This window comes from Homo sapiens, chromosome 11, assembly GCF_000001405.40.
Source record: "Homo sapiens chromosome 11, GRCh38.p14 Primary Assembly".
NCBI classification, from domain to species: Eukaryota; Metazoa; Chordata; class Mammalia; order Primates; family Hominidae; genus Homo; species Homo sapiens.
The window spans coordinates 110,410,712-110,425,015 of NC_000011.10; the positions used below are offsets into that span (position 1 = coordinate 110,410,712).

A 14,304-nucleotide genomic window follows, 5' to 3' on the forward strand; every position below is an offset into this window, starting at 1 on the left:
TATGCTCCTTAACATGGCTAACATCCTAAACATTTCACAGATGTGATTCAGGGTAGAGACCTTGAGATAGGAGATTATCTTGGATTATCAGCCAGGGCCCAAATTAATCACAAGCCTTTAAAAGCAGAGAAGTTTTCTTGCTGAGGTCAGAGAGATATGATGACAGAAGAAGGGTCAGGGAGATGTGAGGGGAGGACTTGACTAGCTAGTTGGCTTTGAAGATAGAGGAAGTAATCCAAGAACACATATAGCCTCTTGAAGCCAGAAAAGACAAGGAAACAAATTCTGTCCTGGAGCCTCCAGAAAGGAGTACAGCCCACCTGATGCCTTGATTTTAGCCCAGTGAGGCCTGTTGCAGATTTCTGACCTACATAACTGTAAAATAATACATTTGTTACAGTAGCAATAGAGAATGAATACACCACAGTAGCAATCTTTTGCAAAGACATGAAACTTAAGTCCACGTATTACATGTTTTGTACTAAAAAAATTAAAATGAAACATGCCAGGAAGGAATAAATGGCACCACATACTACACATTCATCTGAACCACAGATGAATTAGGTGCACAATATTCTAATTTTTATTCTATAAACAATTTGAGATGACTTAGTCCAGGTCTGAGGCTAAAGAAAACTTTTGAGCTATGGGCAAGAAAATCAAATCACTGCTATCACTCAAGGGCAATGCCAAATCTGTTTCAACTGGGACTTTCACACATAGATGCACACATGCACTGGGTGGTTTTCTTATTCCTGGTGAAAATGGATCTTTGGAAACTCTTGGCAAGAAATAGTTTGGCTCAAATTTCCAAAATTAAAAATATAGCCTAGGCTGGGCGTGGTGGCTCACAATTGTAATCCCAGTACTTTGGGAGACCGAAGCGGGGTGGATCTCCTGAGGTCTGCAGTTTGAGACCAGCCTGACCAACATGGTGAAATCCCATCTCTACTAAAAATACAAAATTAGCTGGGAATGGTGGCATATGCCTGTAATCCCAACTACTAGGGAGGCTGAGGCAGAAGAATCACTTGAACCTGGGAGGTGGAGTTTGCAGTGAGCCAAGATCATGCCATTGCCCTCCAGCCTGGGCAATAAGACGGCCTATGGCCTATACTACATTTCTAAAATTGTAGAGTTAAAGAAGTTTCAGACCTTTTTTTTTTTTTTTTTTTTTTTGAGACGGAGTCTTGCTCTTGTCGCCCAGCTGGTGTGCAATGGCAGGATCTCGGCTCACTGCAACCTACGTCTCCCAGGTTCAAGCCATTCTCCTGCCTCAGCCTCCTGAGTAGCTGGGATTACAGGTGCCCACCACCACGCCCGGTTAATTTTTGTATTTTTGGTAGAGACGGGGTTTTGCCATGTTGGCCAGGCTGGTCTTGAACTCCTGACCTCGTGATCTGCCTGCCTCGGCCTCCCAAAGTGCTGGGATTACAGGTGAGAGCCACTGTGACGGCCATTTTTTTCTGACTTAAATAACATTGTGCAGTTCACTTTTATTAATTAATAATGAGAGTATCAATTAAGAGCTACTAATCCATGTTTCCATGCTGCGGTGCAAGATAGTACTGAAAACATAATATGCCAACCTTAAAATATCAAAACTCTCTACAGAGCTCAGGGGTAGTTAGCCCACATATAAATCCATTTCAAAAGTTTCTATCCATTTTCTGAAGTACTTAAACTTTAGAATGGAGGTGGGTAAATAGCCTTTATTCTAGCTTATTTCAACTACATTGTGGTCGCTATGATACCGATTTTTTGAGACTTACTGAAACTTTATTACCCAGTACATTGTCCATTTTTGTAAGTGTTCCCTCTGTGTTTACTGGGGAATTGGATTATTTGTTAAGTAAAGGTTAGTATATGTGTCAAGTTTTCTACATTCTTACTTAATGTTTGATCTATTACTGAGAGTGGTATGTCAAAAAAATCTCTGAATGTGATTGTATATTTGTCTATTTTTCCGTGTAATTCTGTCATGTATATGTGTACATACACACACACACATATAGATTAGATAATTGCAGACTTAGAGTTGCTATATATTCCAGGTTAGTTTAAATGTTTAACATTACATATGAATACATTTATCCTTTATAATGCATTTTCTCCTTGAAAGTCCATTTAATCAGACAGCAATATAGCAAACTAGCTTTATTTTCATTGTATTTACCTAGTATTTCTTTTTCTATTATTTGATATTCAACCTTTCTGTGTCTTTATATTTTTGATGTGTCTTTCCTAAATGTGGTAGAGTCAGATTTTTTTCATCCTAAATGAAAATCAACTTTTTCATTGGTGCTTTTAACCTACTGACTTTTGATATATTTGACCTTATTTTCAACAATTCATTTCATGCTTTTTAAAATATGTGCTTTTACTATGATGTTTTTCCCTCCTTCTCTTCTTTCTTTTGGAGTTCAAGTGATGTATTTGTCAGGATAGACGCTGAACTGCTGTAACAAGGAGACTTTAAAATAAGTATCTTAACTAGGAGAAATGTTTATCCTCTCCCATGCGACAATTCAGAATAGGCTGGGGCTTGGGCACTGTGCCTTCAACAGTGGTGGGCGGCTCTGCTTCATGAGGTCATGCAGGGACCCAGGTTCGTGGATTGGCTCTGCCATCTTGTTTAGCTTTCATTCTTGGATCTCATGTGATCACTCCAGTTGCCATTTTCTAGCCAATGGGAAAGAAAATTTAGAGGAAAACAAGTAGCTTTCTTGTAAAATGGTTATCTGGTTGCATTCATCACTTCTACTTGCATCCCATGAGCAAAAACTTTGTTATAGGAACATACCTATCTGTAGCAGAAGCTGGGAAAGATGGTCTCTGGCTAGTAAGCCATGTGCTCCACTAAAATTCATGGTATTCCATTATTAAAAGGAGGAAAGGGAGAAAGCATCTTGCCAATAACACTCATTAGCTCTTGTTACTCTGTTCCTGTTCCACATGAATGTTGGTCCAGTAATATAGTTCTATCTTGCTCTTTAAAAAACACCCTATGATGAAATCATAGTTGTTGTCATTGTTTTCCAATTGATCATTGCTTAGATTTACCCACATTGTTGCTAATTTTTTGTATATCATTTTTTCTTGCCTCTTTGTCCCATCCTTTGGGTTCAATTTCACTATTCTTGAAGAATGTTGCATTAGCTATGCATCTGTTACTGCCTAACAAATTACTCCAAAACTTGATGAATTGAAACAGCATTTATTATCTCAGTTTCTGGAGGTTAGAATCTGGCATAGCTTCTCTGGATCCACTGTTTCAGGGTTTTTCTCATAGGCCACAATCAAGATATCACCTGGGGATGTGGTCATCTCAAAGCTCAAGTAAGAAAGGATCAGTTTCCTAGCTCACTCCAGTGACTGTTGACAGGATTCGGTTCTTAGACCATTGAAGGGAGGCCTCAGTTCCATTCTGGCTGTTGAGGCCACCCTCAGTTATACCTTTGTTTAGTGAGGGTCTGATGGCAATAAGCTCCATCAATTTTTATTGTTTTAAAAATATAGCCATGTACTGCATGATGACGTTTTGGTCAACAATGGTCCCATAAGCCTACCATTTTTAGCTCCTCTAATGGAGGTGAAAAATTTCAATCACCTAATGATGTAGCTGTCATCACTGTAGTGCAACACATTACTCACATTTTTGGTGATGCTGTTGTAAATAAACCTACTTCACCGACTTTTTATCACTATTTTAGAGTAGTTATAAAAAAGTTGTTTACTGTAAAACAACCTCAGTCAGGTCCTTCAGAAGGGATTCCAGAAGAAGATATTGTTATCATAGGAGATGACAGCTCCATGCATGTTATTGCACTTGAAGACCTTCCAGTGGGACAAGATGTGGAGGTGGCAAACAGTGATATTGAGGATCTTCTCCCAGTACAGGCCTAGGCTCATGTGTGTGTGTCTTAGTTTTTTTTTTGTTTTGTTTTTGTTTTTTTTTTCTGAGGCAGATTCTTGCTCTGTCGCCCAGGCTAGAGTGAAGTGGTGCAATCTTGGCTCACTGCAAGCTCCACCTCCTGGGTTCACGCCATTCTCCTGCCTCAGCCTCCCAAGTAGCTGGGACTACAGGTGCTTGCCACCACGCCTGGCTAATTTTTTTTATTTTTATTTTAGTAAAGACGGGGTTTCACCGTGTTAGCCAGGAAGGCCTTGATCTCCTTACCTCGTGATGCGCCTGCCTCAGCCTCCCGAAGTGCTGGGATTATAGGCATGAGCCACGGCACCCAGACCTGTGTCTTAGTTTTTAACAAAACAGTTTAAAAAGTAAACCAAAAAAAGTTTTAAAAATAGAAAAAAAGCTTATAGAATAAGAATATAGAGAAATAAAATATTTTTATACTACTGTACAATATGTCTGTGTTTTAACCTGAGTGTTATTACAAACAAGTCAAAAAGCTAGAAAAATTAAAAAAAGTATAAAGTAAAAATGTCACAGTAAGCTAAGGTTAATTTGTTATTGAAGAAAGAAAAACATTTTTTATAAATTTGTGTAGCCGAAGTGTACAGTGTTTATAAAGTCTGCAGTAATGTACCATAATATGCCAGGCCTTCACATTCACTCGCCACTGACTCACCCAGAACAACTTCTAGCCATGCAGGCTCTATTCACATTAAGTGACCTGGAAGGTGTACCATATTTAACTTTTTATACTGTATTTTTACTGTACCTTTTCTATATTTAGATATGTTTAAATACACAAATGCTAACTATTGTGTTATAATTACCTACAGTATTCAGTATAGTAACATGCTGAACAGGTTTGTAGCCTAGAATCTATATGCTATTCCATATAGCCTCGTGTTCAATAAGCTATATGATCTAGGTTTGTGTAAATACACTGTATGTTTGCACAAGACCAAATAGACTAATGACACATTTCACAGAATGTATCCTCCTCATTAAGTGGCTCAAGACTGTATTTTAATTTCAGCTTTATTCTAGTTCTTTCTTTCTGGGACTCCAAATAGAAGTAGACCATTTGATTTTGTCCCACAAGTCAATGATGCTAGTTTTTTTCTTTTTTCAGTCTTTTTGCTCTTTGTCTATCATTTTGAAAGTTTCTACTGCTGTGTTTTCAAGTTTAGTGACCTTTTTTTCCTGTGGTGTTCTTGGCTTTCATACATTTTTGTACATCTAGAAATTTAAAAACAATTCCAAATAACTCACTATCAAAGAATAAACAGAGTGGAAGTTTGAAAATATTTAAACTGAAGTCATAAAGATACTGAAATGTAAAGGAAATACATTTCAAACTCATTTGATGTAGCCAAACACACTATTTCAAGGGAATTTAAATTCTTAGAAACATTTAAATATTTTTTTAAAAAAACAAAATTAAAAATTGATGAGCTAAGTACCCAGCTCAAGAAGTTAGAAAAAAAAGCTGGGTGTAGTGGCACATGCCTGTAGTCCCAGCACACTACAGCCTCAAACTCTTGGGCTTAAGTGATCCTCCCTGCTCAGTTTCCCAAGCAGCTGGGACTACAGGTGTGCACCACAACATTCTGCTATTTTAATTTTTTTGTTTTTTTCAGAGAGACAGGGTTTCACTATGTTGCCCAGGCTAGTCTCGAACTCCTAGCCTCATGTGATCCTCCTGTCTCAGCCTCCCAAAGCTCTGGGATTTCAGACCTGAGCCACCATACCCAGACTCAGTTATATCCTTAATTCAAGTTTAGGAAACTCACCAATATCATTAGCTATATTTATAAATAGCCTTGGGGTGGAATGTCAATTTCTTGGGACAAAATCAACTTAGATCTAATCATATACTTAAAAAAAATTTCAGATAATGATATATTCTGAGTTTACTCCTAAATTATATAGATCATGTAGAACCTTAAGCATCTACTATTGAATACAGGGTTGAAAAAATATATACATAAACAATAATAAAATCATAGTGAGGGGTGAAGCCAGGTGGACTTCTGGGTCAGGTGGGGACTTGGAGAACTTTTCTGTCTAGCTAGAGGATTGTAAATGCACCCATCAGCACTGTGTAAAAACGCACCAATCAGCACTCTGTGTCTAGCTAAAGGATTGTAAATGCACCAATCAGCACTCTGTAAAAGCCCACCAATCAGTGCTTTGTGTCCAGCTAAAGGTTTGTTTGTTTGTTTGTTTTTTGAGATGGAGTCTCACTCTGTTGCCCAGGCTAGAGTGCAGTGGTGCGATCTCGGCTCACTGCAAGCTCCACCTCCCGGGTTCACGGCATTCCCCTGCCTCAGCCTCCCGAGTAGGTGGGACTACAGGCGCTTGCCACCATGCCAGGCTAGTTTTTTTTGTATTTTTAGTGGAGACGGGGTGTCACCGTGTTAGCCTGGATGGTCTCGCTCTCCTGACCTCGTGATCCACCTGCCTTGGCCTCCCAAAGTGCTGGGATTACAGGCATGAGCCACTGTGCCCTGTAGTAGCTAAAGGTTTATAAACGCACCTATCAGTACTCTGTAAAAACGGGCCAATCAGCACTCTGTAAAATGGACAAATCAGTGCTCTGTAAAATGGACCAATCAGCAGATTGTCTGATGATGAGATTTGTCTCATCATTTTTCTTGATTGACATCTGGTAACCACGAAGGGACCCTGAGTGAAGGTAGCCCGGCCTGCAGCAGCTCTCCTGTCTGTGCTTGGTACCAGCTTGGGCATATTATAGCCCAAACCGATAGGATGATTTGCTGAAGTCCAGGACCTCTCTCCTCCAGGGATCCCTGATCTTCCAGTGTTTTTCAATTTGGGGTCTGATGTTTATTTGCTGTTTAAAAAAACTCCTTTTTTGTGAGGAGTTTCCATTCACTTCCATCAAGGAAGGCAAGCCTGTCTGCTTCTGCATTGGCGGAAAGCAGTCTTCAGCTTGGGCCCCATCATTAGGTAAGAAACTGGTTTGGAATTCTGTCTTGCAAATTGTTTTTAAACAAATAAAGTTAGCACTAACAACTAGCTGTTGTTAATTTTTGCTTACACTTGGAGCATTCAGAAATCATGTAATTTGCGTGATCATTGCTAGTTTTGCTTAACTGTTTTGTTGTTTGTTTCTGTCTTGTTGGTTTTTTTTTGTGTGTGTTTTGGTCCTTTCCCTTATCGGATTTGACCAACTCCATACCCTCTAGCTCATGAGTGTGGAATCTTCCACTCTAAAGAAATAAAAGCACCTTGCTTCCTTCAGCCCTTTGGGGCATTCTCCGGCAACTGAGAATCACGTGAGGGTGTCTGGGAGGAATGCTCCCTAAGATGTGCAGCAGCTCTAAGTAGGTTTCCCCCTCAGAAGAACATATTTAGGGTCTAATCTCAGCAAACAGGCACATATAAGGAGCTGACCTTTCCTGCACCTTGAGCCCCTGACATGCTGTGCCAGGTAGCTCTGACACAGGTGGACTGAACCGGTTCTGGGGGTAATGACCCTGAAAAACTAGGTCTGCAAGCAGCACACTTTGTGTCCAACACATGTCCTGACTTGGCCAAATCTGAAGGGGAAATCTAAATTATTGGGAATGAGTCCTCTAAGTTAGCTAAAACCCCAGCAGCTGTGGACCATAGTTCCACCTTTAGAAACTCTGGCCAGGTATATGCAAAATACTTGTGGTGAATTGTCATGTAAATATTTAACCAAGTGGACCACTGTAACTAAAGCAGATTCTAAGTTACAGTGGCCTAAATGGGGATCTTTTGAGATGCACAAATTCGTGTACCTGTGAACCAGGATGGAAAACGCAGGCACAAAAACTAAACAACCAGAATGGGAGAGGTACTTTCAGTGGTACCTGGAGAGTAAAAGGGGAGAAGATCTCCTCATCTCCCTACAGAAGGCCAACAATCAATTTAGAAAAGATAATCAAGAACTCTCTAATTTTTTCTCTCTCTTAAAGAAACCCTGGGAATCCCTTACTTCCCCCTTGGCACCTCTCCCACCTCCACCAACACCCCAACTCTACCCTGATCTCTCTGAATTTCCCCAACCAGATCTGTACCCTCCTTCTCCTGCATGTTCAAATCTACCATCTTCTCCTCCTTGTCTACCACTGGCTCAAACGAAGACAGTAGAGAGTCTAACTTCAAAGACCCTACCTCCTGCTGATTCTCTGGTAGCCCCAGTGGCAGCCTCTCATTGGAAGATGTGGAGGAGAGGGACCTTGCAGGGACATTTCTCATGATCACCCTATTTCGGGAACCCTGGTGATTGTCTACCAACCTAGTCAAAAACTGAATTATGAGGCATAAAGAATTTCCTGGCTGGGCATGGTGGCTCACACCTGTAATTCCAGCACTTTGGGAGGTCAAGGTGGGTGGATCACGAGGTCAGGAGATCAAGACCATCCTGGCTAACACGGCAAAACCCTGTCTCTACTAAAAATACAAAAAATTAGCCGTGTGTGGTGGCATGCACCTGTTATCCCAACTACTCAGGAGGCTGAGGCAGGAGAATCACTTGAACCCGGGAGGTGGAGGTTGCAGTGAACTGAGATTGTGCCACTGCACTCCAGCCTGGGTGACAGAGCGAGACTCTGTCTGAAAAAAAAAAAAAAAAAGAATTTCCTGACCCCCATAAAGATCCAAGTGGGGTTGCATGAGAATTTGAGCTAATTATTAGAACCTATGACCCAGGTCTTTCAGACCTTTATCAGCTAGTCCACATGTTGGTCTCAGAAGCTAAAGCTAAGGAATGGCTGGAAAAATCACAGTGGTCAGACCCTATAGCAGATTTGACCCCTTCAGGCCCAACAGAGCCACAACAACGAGCCCCCCAAAATCCAGAAGACAGGCACAAAGATGCACGGAAATGAGCCACTGCTCTGTTAAATATCATTCCTTCAGTGTTCCAAAGGGTTGTGGATTGGAATAAAATCCAACAATGCTGCCAGAACCCAGTTGAATCAGTTTTAGATTATTTTACACATTTTGATAAAATGTTGAGACAATATTGCAGGATGTCACCTGATTGTTTTGAAAACAATAGAAATGGTACATTATTAAGCAAATTTCTTTCTTTCTTTCTTTCTTTTTTTTTTTGAGATGGAGTCTCAGTCTGTTGCCCAAGCTGGAGTGCAGTGGTGCTATCTTGGCTCACTGCAACCTCCGGCTTCCGGGTTCAAGCAATTCTCCTGTCTCTGCCTCCCAAGTAGCTGGAATTACAGGCATGCACCATCATGCCTGGCTAATTTTTGTATATTTTTTAGGTAGAGACGGGGTTTCACGATGTTGGCCAGGCTGGTCTTGAACTCCTGACCTCAGGTGATCCACCGGCCTCGGCCTCCCAAAGTACTAGGATTACAGTCATGAACCACCACACCCAGCCAAGTGCAAATTTCTTAAATGAACTACATAATGATTTAGCCACCCTTGTAAAATGCCACATGACAAATTGGGCCACGGCCAGAACTAATGAACTAGTTAACTTAGCTGACCAATTATCCCGCACTATGCTAAAAAAGGAAAAACAAAAGATTGCCCGAGTTATGCATTCACAGCTAAAGCAATTAACTTCTCAAACCTCTCAGGCCTGGAAAGACTTTAAGATGCCTCAGTTTGAGGACTCTTCCCACCCAGTCTGTTACTACTGTTAAGAGACCAGGACACCTTAAAAGAGGCTACCTTACATGGAAAGGAAAGAAAAGGCAGGTAAGTGCAACTCAGGAAGACTAGGGGTGCTCCAAGGAAGTTCAGGGGTTTCACCTCTTCAAATAGTCTACCCTGACAAAGAAATTGGGAGAGATTAATATAATAATAAACCATGAGCTTACAACTGCCTTAATTGATACAGGAGCAACTATATCTCTTATAAATCCCACCTTATTTAGAAACCCCATTCCTTGGGGTAATGAAAGAATTAACATGGTGGGTGTGTCTAATAAAACTATCTCATGTTTTAAGTCCAAACCTATACCTTACCATTTTGTTAGGTTCAGCTCCCCCACCACAGGCTCTAAGTGTGACATGCTCAGTCTGTCTTGAGTGTTTCTAATATGCCCTGAGGCCCCTGTCAATCTTTTGGGCCAGGATCTCCTCAACATCCATAATGCCCATATGGCATTATGGCATTATCTTTTTCATCAAAAAGTGAACTCTTTTAAGAACTGGAGCCAGGACACCAAAAATACCAAATTCAAAAATGTCCTGACAATATACCACAATTTAGTACTAGTAATGTTAAAACGTCACCTTGTGACCAGGAAAGTGAAATGGAGACAGAGAAGGAAATATTAGGGGAGAAGAGAAGACATTGGAATAAAGAGCAGGAAACAGTAAAACTCCTTTTGGCTTCCACAATCTTCCTGTTAACCCCAGAAGCAGAACACTTACTCCAGGATGTCCCCTGCCACTTATGGTCTCAGTCACATACAGATATAGAGAAAATATTCTCAGCCACTCCTCTAAAGGTAGAGATAAACCCAAAGAAACCCCTACCCAACCTTAAACAATATCCTCTATGACAAAAAACCATAGATTAAATTGCCCCTATCATATAAGATTATCTGAAAAAGGGGGCTCATTATTCCCTCCACAAGCCCCTGCAACAGCTCTGTTTCCTGTAAACAAAACAAAACAAAAGACAAGTGGGAGAGGATGGAGATTTGTACAGGACTTGAGGGTAATAAAAAATATCATAATACCCAGAGACCCAGTAGTCTCCAACCCCCATACCTATCGGGGGAACCCACCCCCGATAATTCATGTAGGTTCTTTTATATTTTCCCTAAGTGTCAGCTGGTCTGAGAAGTAAAGGGAAAGAGTACAAAAGAGAGAAATTTTAAAGCTGGGTGTCCGGGGGAGACATCACATGTCAGCAGGTTCCATGATGTCCTCTGAGCCATAAAATCAGCAAGTTTTTATTTGTGATTTTCAAAAGGGGAGAGGGTGTAAGAATAGGGTGTGGGTCACAGAGCTCACATGCTTCACAAGGTAATAAAATATCACAAGGCAAACAGAGGCAGGGCGAGATCACAGGACCGGGGTGAAATTAAAATTGCTAATGAAGTTTTGGGCACACATTGTCGTTGATAACATCTTATCAGGAAACAGGGTTTGAGAGCAGACAACCAGTCTGATCAAAATTCATTAGGTGGGAATTTCCTTGTCCTAACAAGCCTGGGAGTGCTACGGGAGACTGGGGCTTATTTCATCCCTTATCTACAATCGTAAAAGACAGCTGTCCCCAAAGCGGCCATTTTAGAGGCCTTCCCTTAGGGATGCATTCTCTTTCTCAGGGATGTTCCTTGCTGAGGAAAAGAATTCAGTGATATTTCTCCTATTTGCTTTTGAAAGAAGAGAAATATGGCTCTGTTCTGCCCAGCCCACAGGCAGCCAGACTTTAAGGTTATCTCCCTTGTTCCCTGAACATTGCTGTTATCCTGTTCTTAAGGTGCCCAGATTTGATATTGTTCAAACACACATGCTCTACAAACAATTTGTGCAGTTAAGGCAATTATCACAGGGTCCTGAGGCGACATACATCCTCCTCAGTTTACAAAGATGACAGGATTAAGAGATTAAAGACAGGCATAGGAAATAATAAGAGTATTGATTGGGGAAGTGATAAATGCCCATGAAATCTTCACAATTTATGTTCAGAGACTGCAGTAAAGACAGGCATAAGAAATTATAAAAGTATTAATTTGGGGAGCTAATAAATGTCCATGAAATCTTCACAATTTATGTTCTTCTGCCATGGCTTCAGCTGGTCCCTCCATTCGGGGTCCCTGACTTCCCACGACACATACCCTTCTATCAGCTCTACCTACCACCAGTCAGTATTTCTCAGTTGTGGATCTCTGCAGTGCTTTCTTTAGTACTCCTGTACATCTGGACAGCCAGTATTTGTTTGCCTTTACTTGGAAAAAATGGCAATATATGTGGACTGTAATCCCCCAAGAGTATACAGAAAGTCCTGTTTACTGTTCCCAAATATTAAAAGTTGATTTAGAGGATTAATTTTTCCCCAGGGCTCAACACTCATCCAGTATGTGGATGACCTTCTCCTTTGCTCAGACATACTCTCTTCCTCTCTGGAAGATAGTCTATATTTAGTCAGCCACCAAGGGACACAAAGTGTCTAAAGACAAACTGCAGCTATGCTTACTGCAACTTAAGTATTTGGGGCATATTATCTCAGTCAAAGGACTGAATATTAACCCTGATAGAGTGAGAGGAATTTTAGCTTTCCCAATGCCCACCACCAGGAAACAACTTAGAGGACTTTTGGGCCTGGCAGGCTATTGTAGAAACTGGATACCAAATTTCTCCCTTATACCTCAACCTCTGTATGCGTACCTAAAAATTGAACAACCTGATCCCATCATGTGGACTCCAGAGGGAAAATCAGATGTACAACAGATAAAGGAAATTCTAATGCCCCAGTCTTAGGGCACCCAAACTACAAATTGCCTTTCTCCCTTTTCATACGTGAATTCAGAGGTACTGCATCTAGGGTACTGACCCAGAAACTTGATGATCAGCAGAGACCTAGAGGCTATCATAGCCAACAGCTGGACCCTGTGGCTCAAGGGCTGCCTCCTTGTGTGAGAGCAATAGCAACCATGGCCCTTCTGTAAAAGTCTGTTGAAGAAACAAATATGGGTTCCCCCTTTAACATTTTTGTGCTGCATTCTCTTGAAACCCTTCTAAACTCTCATCATACTCAACATCTCTCTGTCAACTGGTTAGCCTCTTATGAAATTATTCTTTTATCATCTCCCAATATTACCATTTCCCACTGTAATAATCTTAACCTGGCCACTCTTGCTGGGCCCTTCCAACAAAACCCGTCATGACTGTGTTCTGGTAACTGACCTATTTCTCACACCCAGGACAGCCCTACAAGAGATGCCACTGGATAATGCTGAGACAGAATGGTATACAGATGGGTCTTATTTAAGAGGAAAGAATGGAAATTTTAGACCAGGATATGCTGTGGTTTCCTTACTAGAGGTAATTGAAGCCAGTCCTCTTCCCCAAGCCAGATCAGCTCAAGTGGCCAAATTGATTGTCCTGATCTGAACTTGTCAATTAGCAAAAGACAAGGCTGCAAACATTTATACTGACAGTGCTAGGCTTCTGGGGTTGCATATGACTTTGTGAGGCTATGGAAAGAGAGAGGATATTTTAACTTCCTCAGGGCAACTCATAAAAAATGGACAACAAGTATCAGAGCTGTTAGAAGCTATTCTAAAACCAAAACGTTGGCAGCTATAAAAATCCCAGGTCACTGTCAGACACCACAGAAAGTCGGGGTAACCAACTGGCTGATATCACAGTTAAAAGGGTAGCATTTGATCCACCAGCCCCAATTTGGGAAATGGCCATAAAACCTGAAACACTTAAAAACATGTTGAAAGAAACCCAGAACATAGCTCCTACAAAAGAGAAATCTACTTGGAAACAGGCAGGGGGATTTTTGTCTCCCGAAACTGAAATATGGTGTGGACCTAATAATAAACCCATTATTCCAATAGGATGTCAGGTGTCCCTTATGGAATATGTTCACAACCTAACCCACTGGAATCCTGATAAAATTATATCCTGGTATAAACAATATTACTGGAAACCATCCTTCACAGTGGCACAAAAAGCTTACTCTTGATGTGCTATTTGTCCCAAATATAATCCAGGAAAACCCCTCCATGGGGCCCAGGGTCATTTTCCCCTTCCGGCCAGACCTTTTGAGGTGTGGCAGCATGATTTTATCCAGCTGCCATCATCTGAAGGTTATCAGTGTTTTAGTAATGGTCTGCATGTTTTCCTATTGGGTTGAAGCTTTTCCCTGCAGGCAAGCAACAGCCACGTCAGTTGGAAAAATCCTACTAAAAAAAATGACTCCACTATGGGGAGTCCCCTGTGAACTTCGCAGTGATAGGGGAACTCACTTTACTGGCCAGATTTTTCAAAATATTTGTACAGTTTGGCCATATTTCAACATTTTCAGGGTGCCTACCATCCCCAGTCCTCAGGCCTGGTGGAGAGGACCAATGGAATAATTAAAACACAATTGGCTAAGTTCACAGAGGCATTTCACCTCCCCTGGCCCAAAGCACTCGCCCTAGTGCTGATTATACTGCAATCCACCCTTCTTGGAAAACATCAACCGTCCCCTTATGAAATTATAACTGGAAGGCCCATATGTATGGGAATGAAAATAACTAATCCAACTTTTCTCAAGGGAGATATATCACAATATTGGGAGGGATTCATTTATCATCTTAAAAAAGCCAAGATTTGGTAAAGAATTCCTTTCACAGTGTGCTCCCTGAAGATAAGGTGCCTGGTCAAGATCTGCAGCCTGGAGATTTGGTCTATTG

At 41.1% G+C, this 14,304-nt stretch overlaps 1 annotated feature.

Annotated features, from left to right (window-relative positions):
• Positions 11,020-11,220: a silencer, noted in NCBI's record as "peak1468 fragment used in MPRA reporter construct". NCBI's record gives its function as "represses an SCP1 promoter by STARR-seq MPRAs in K562 erythroleukemia cells {active_cell/tissue: K562}" and the evidence as "EXISTENCE:reporter gene assay evidence [ECO:0000049][PMID:32103011]".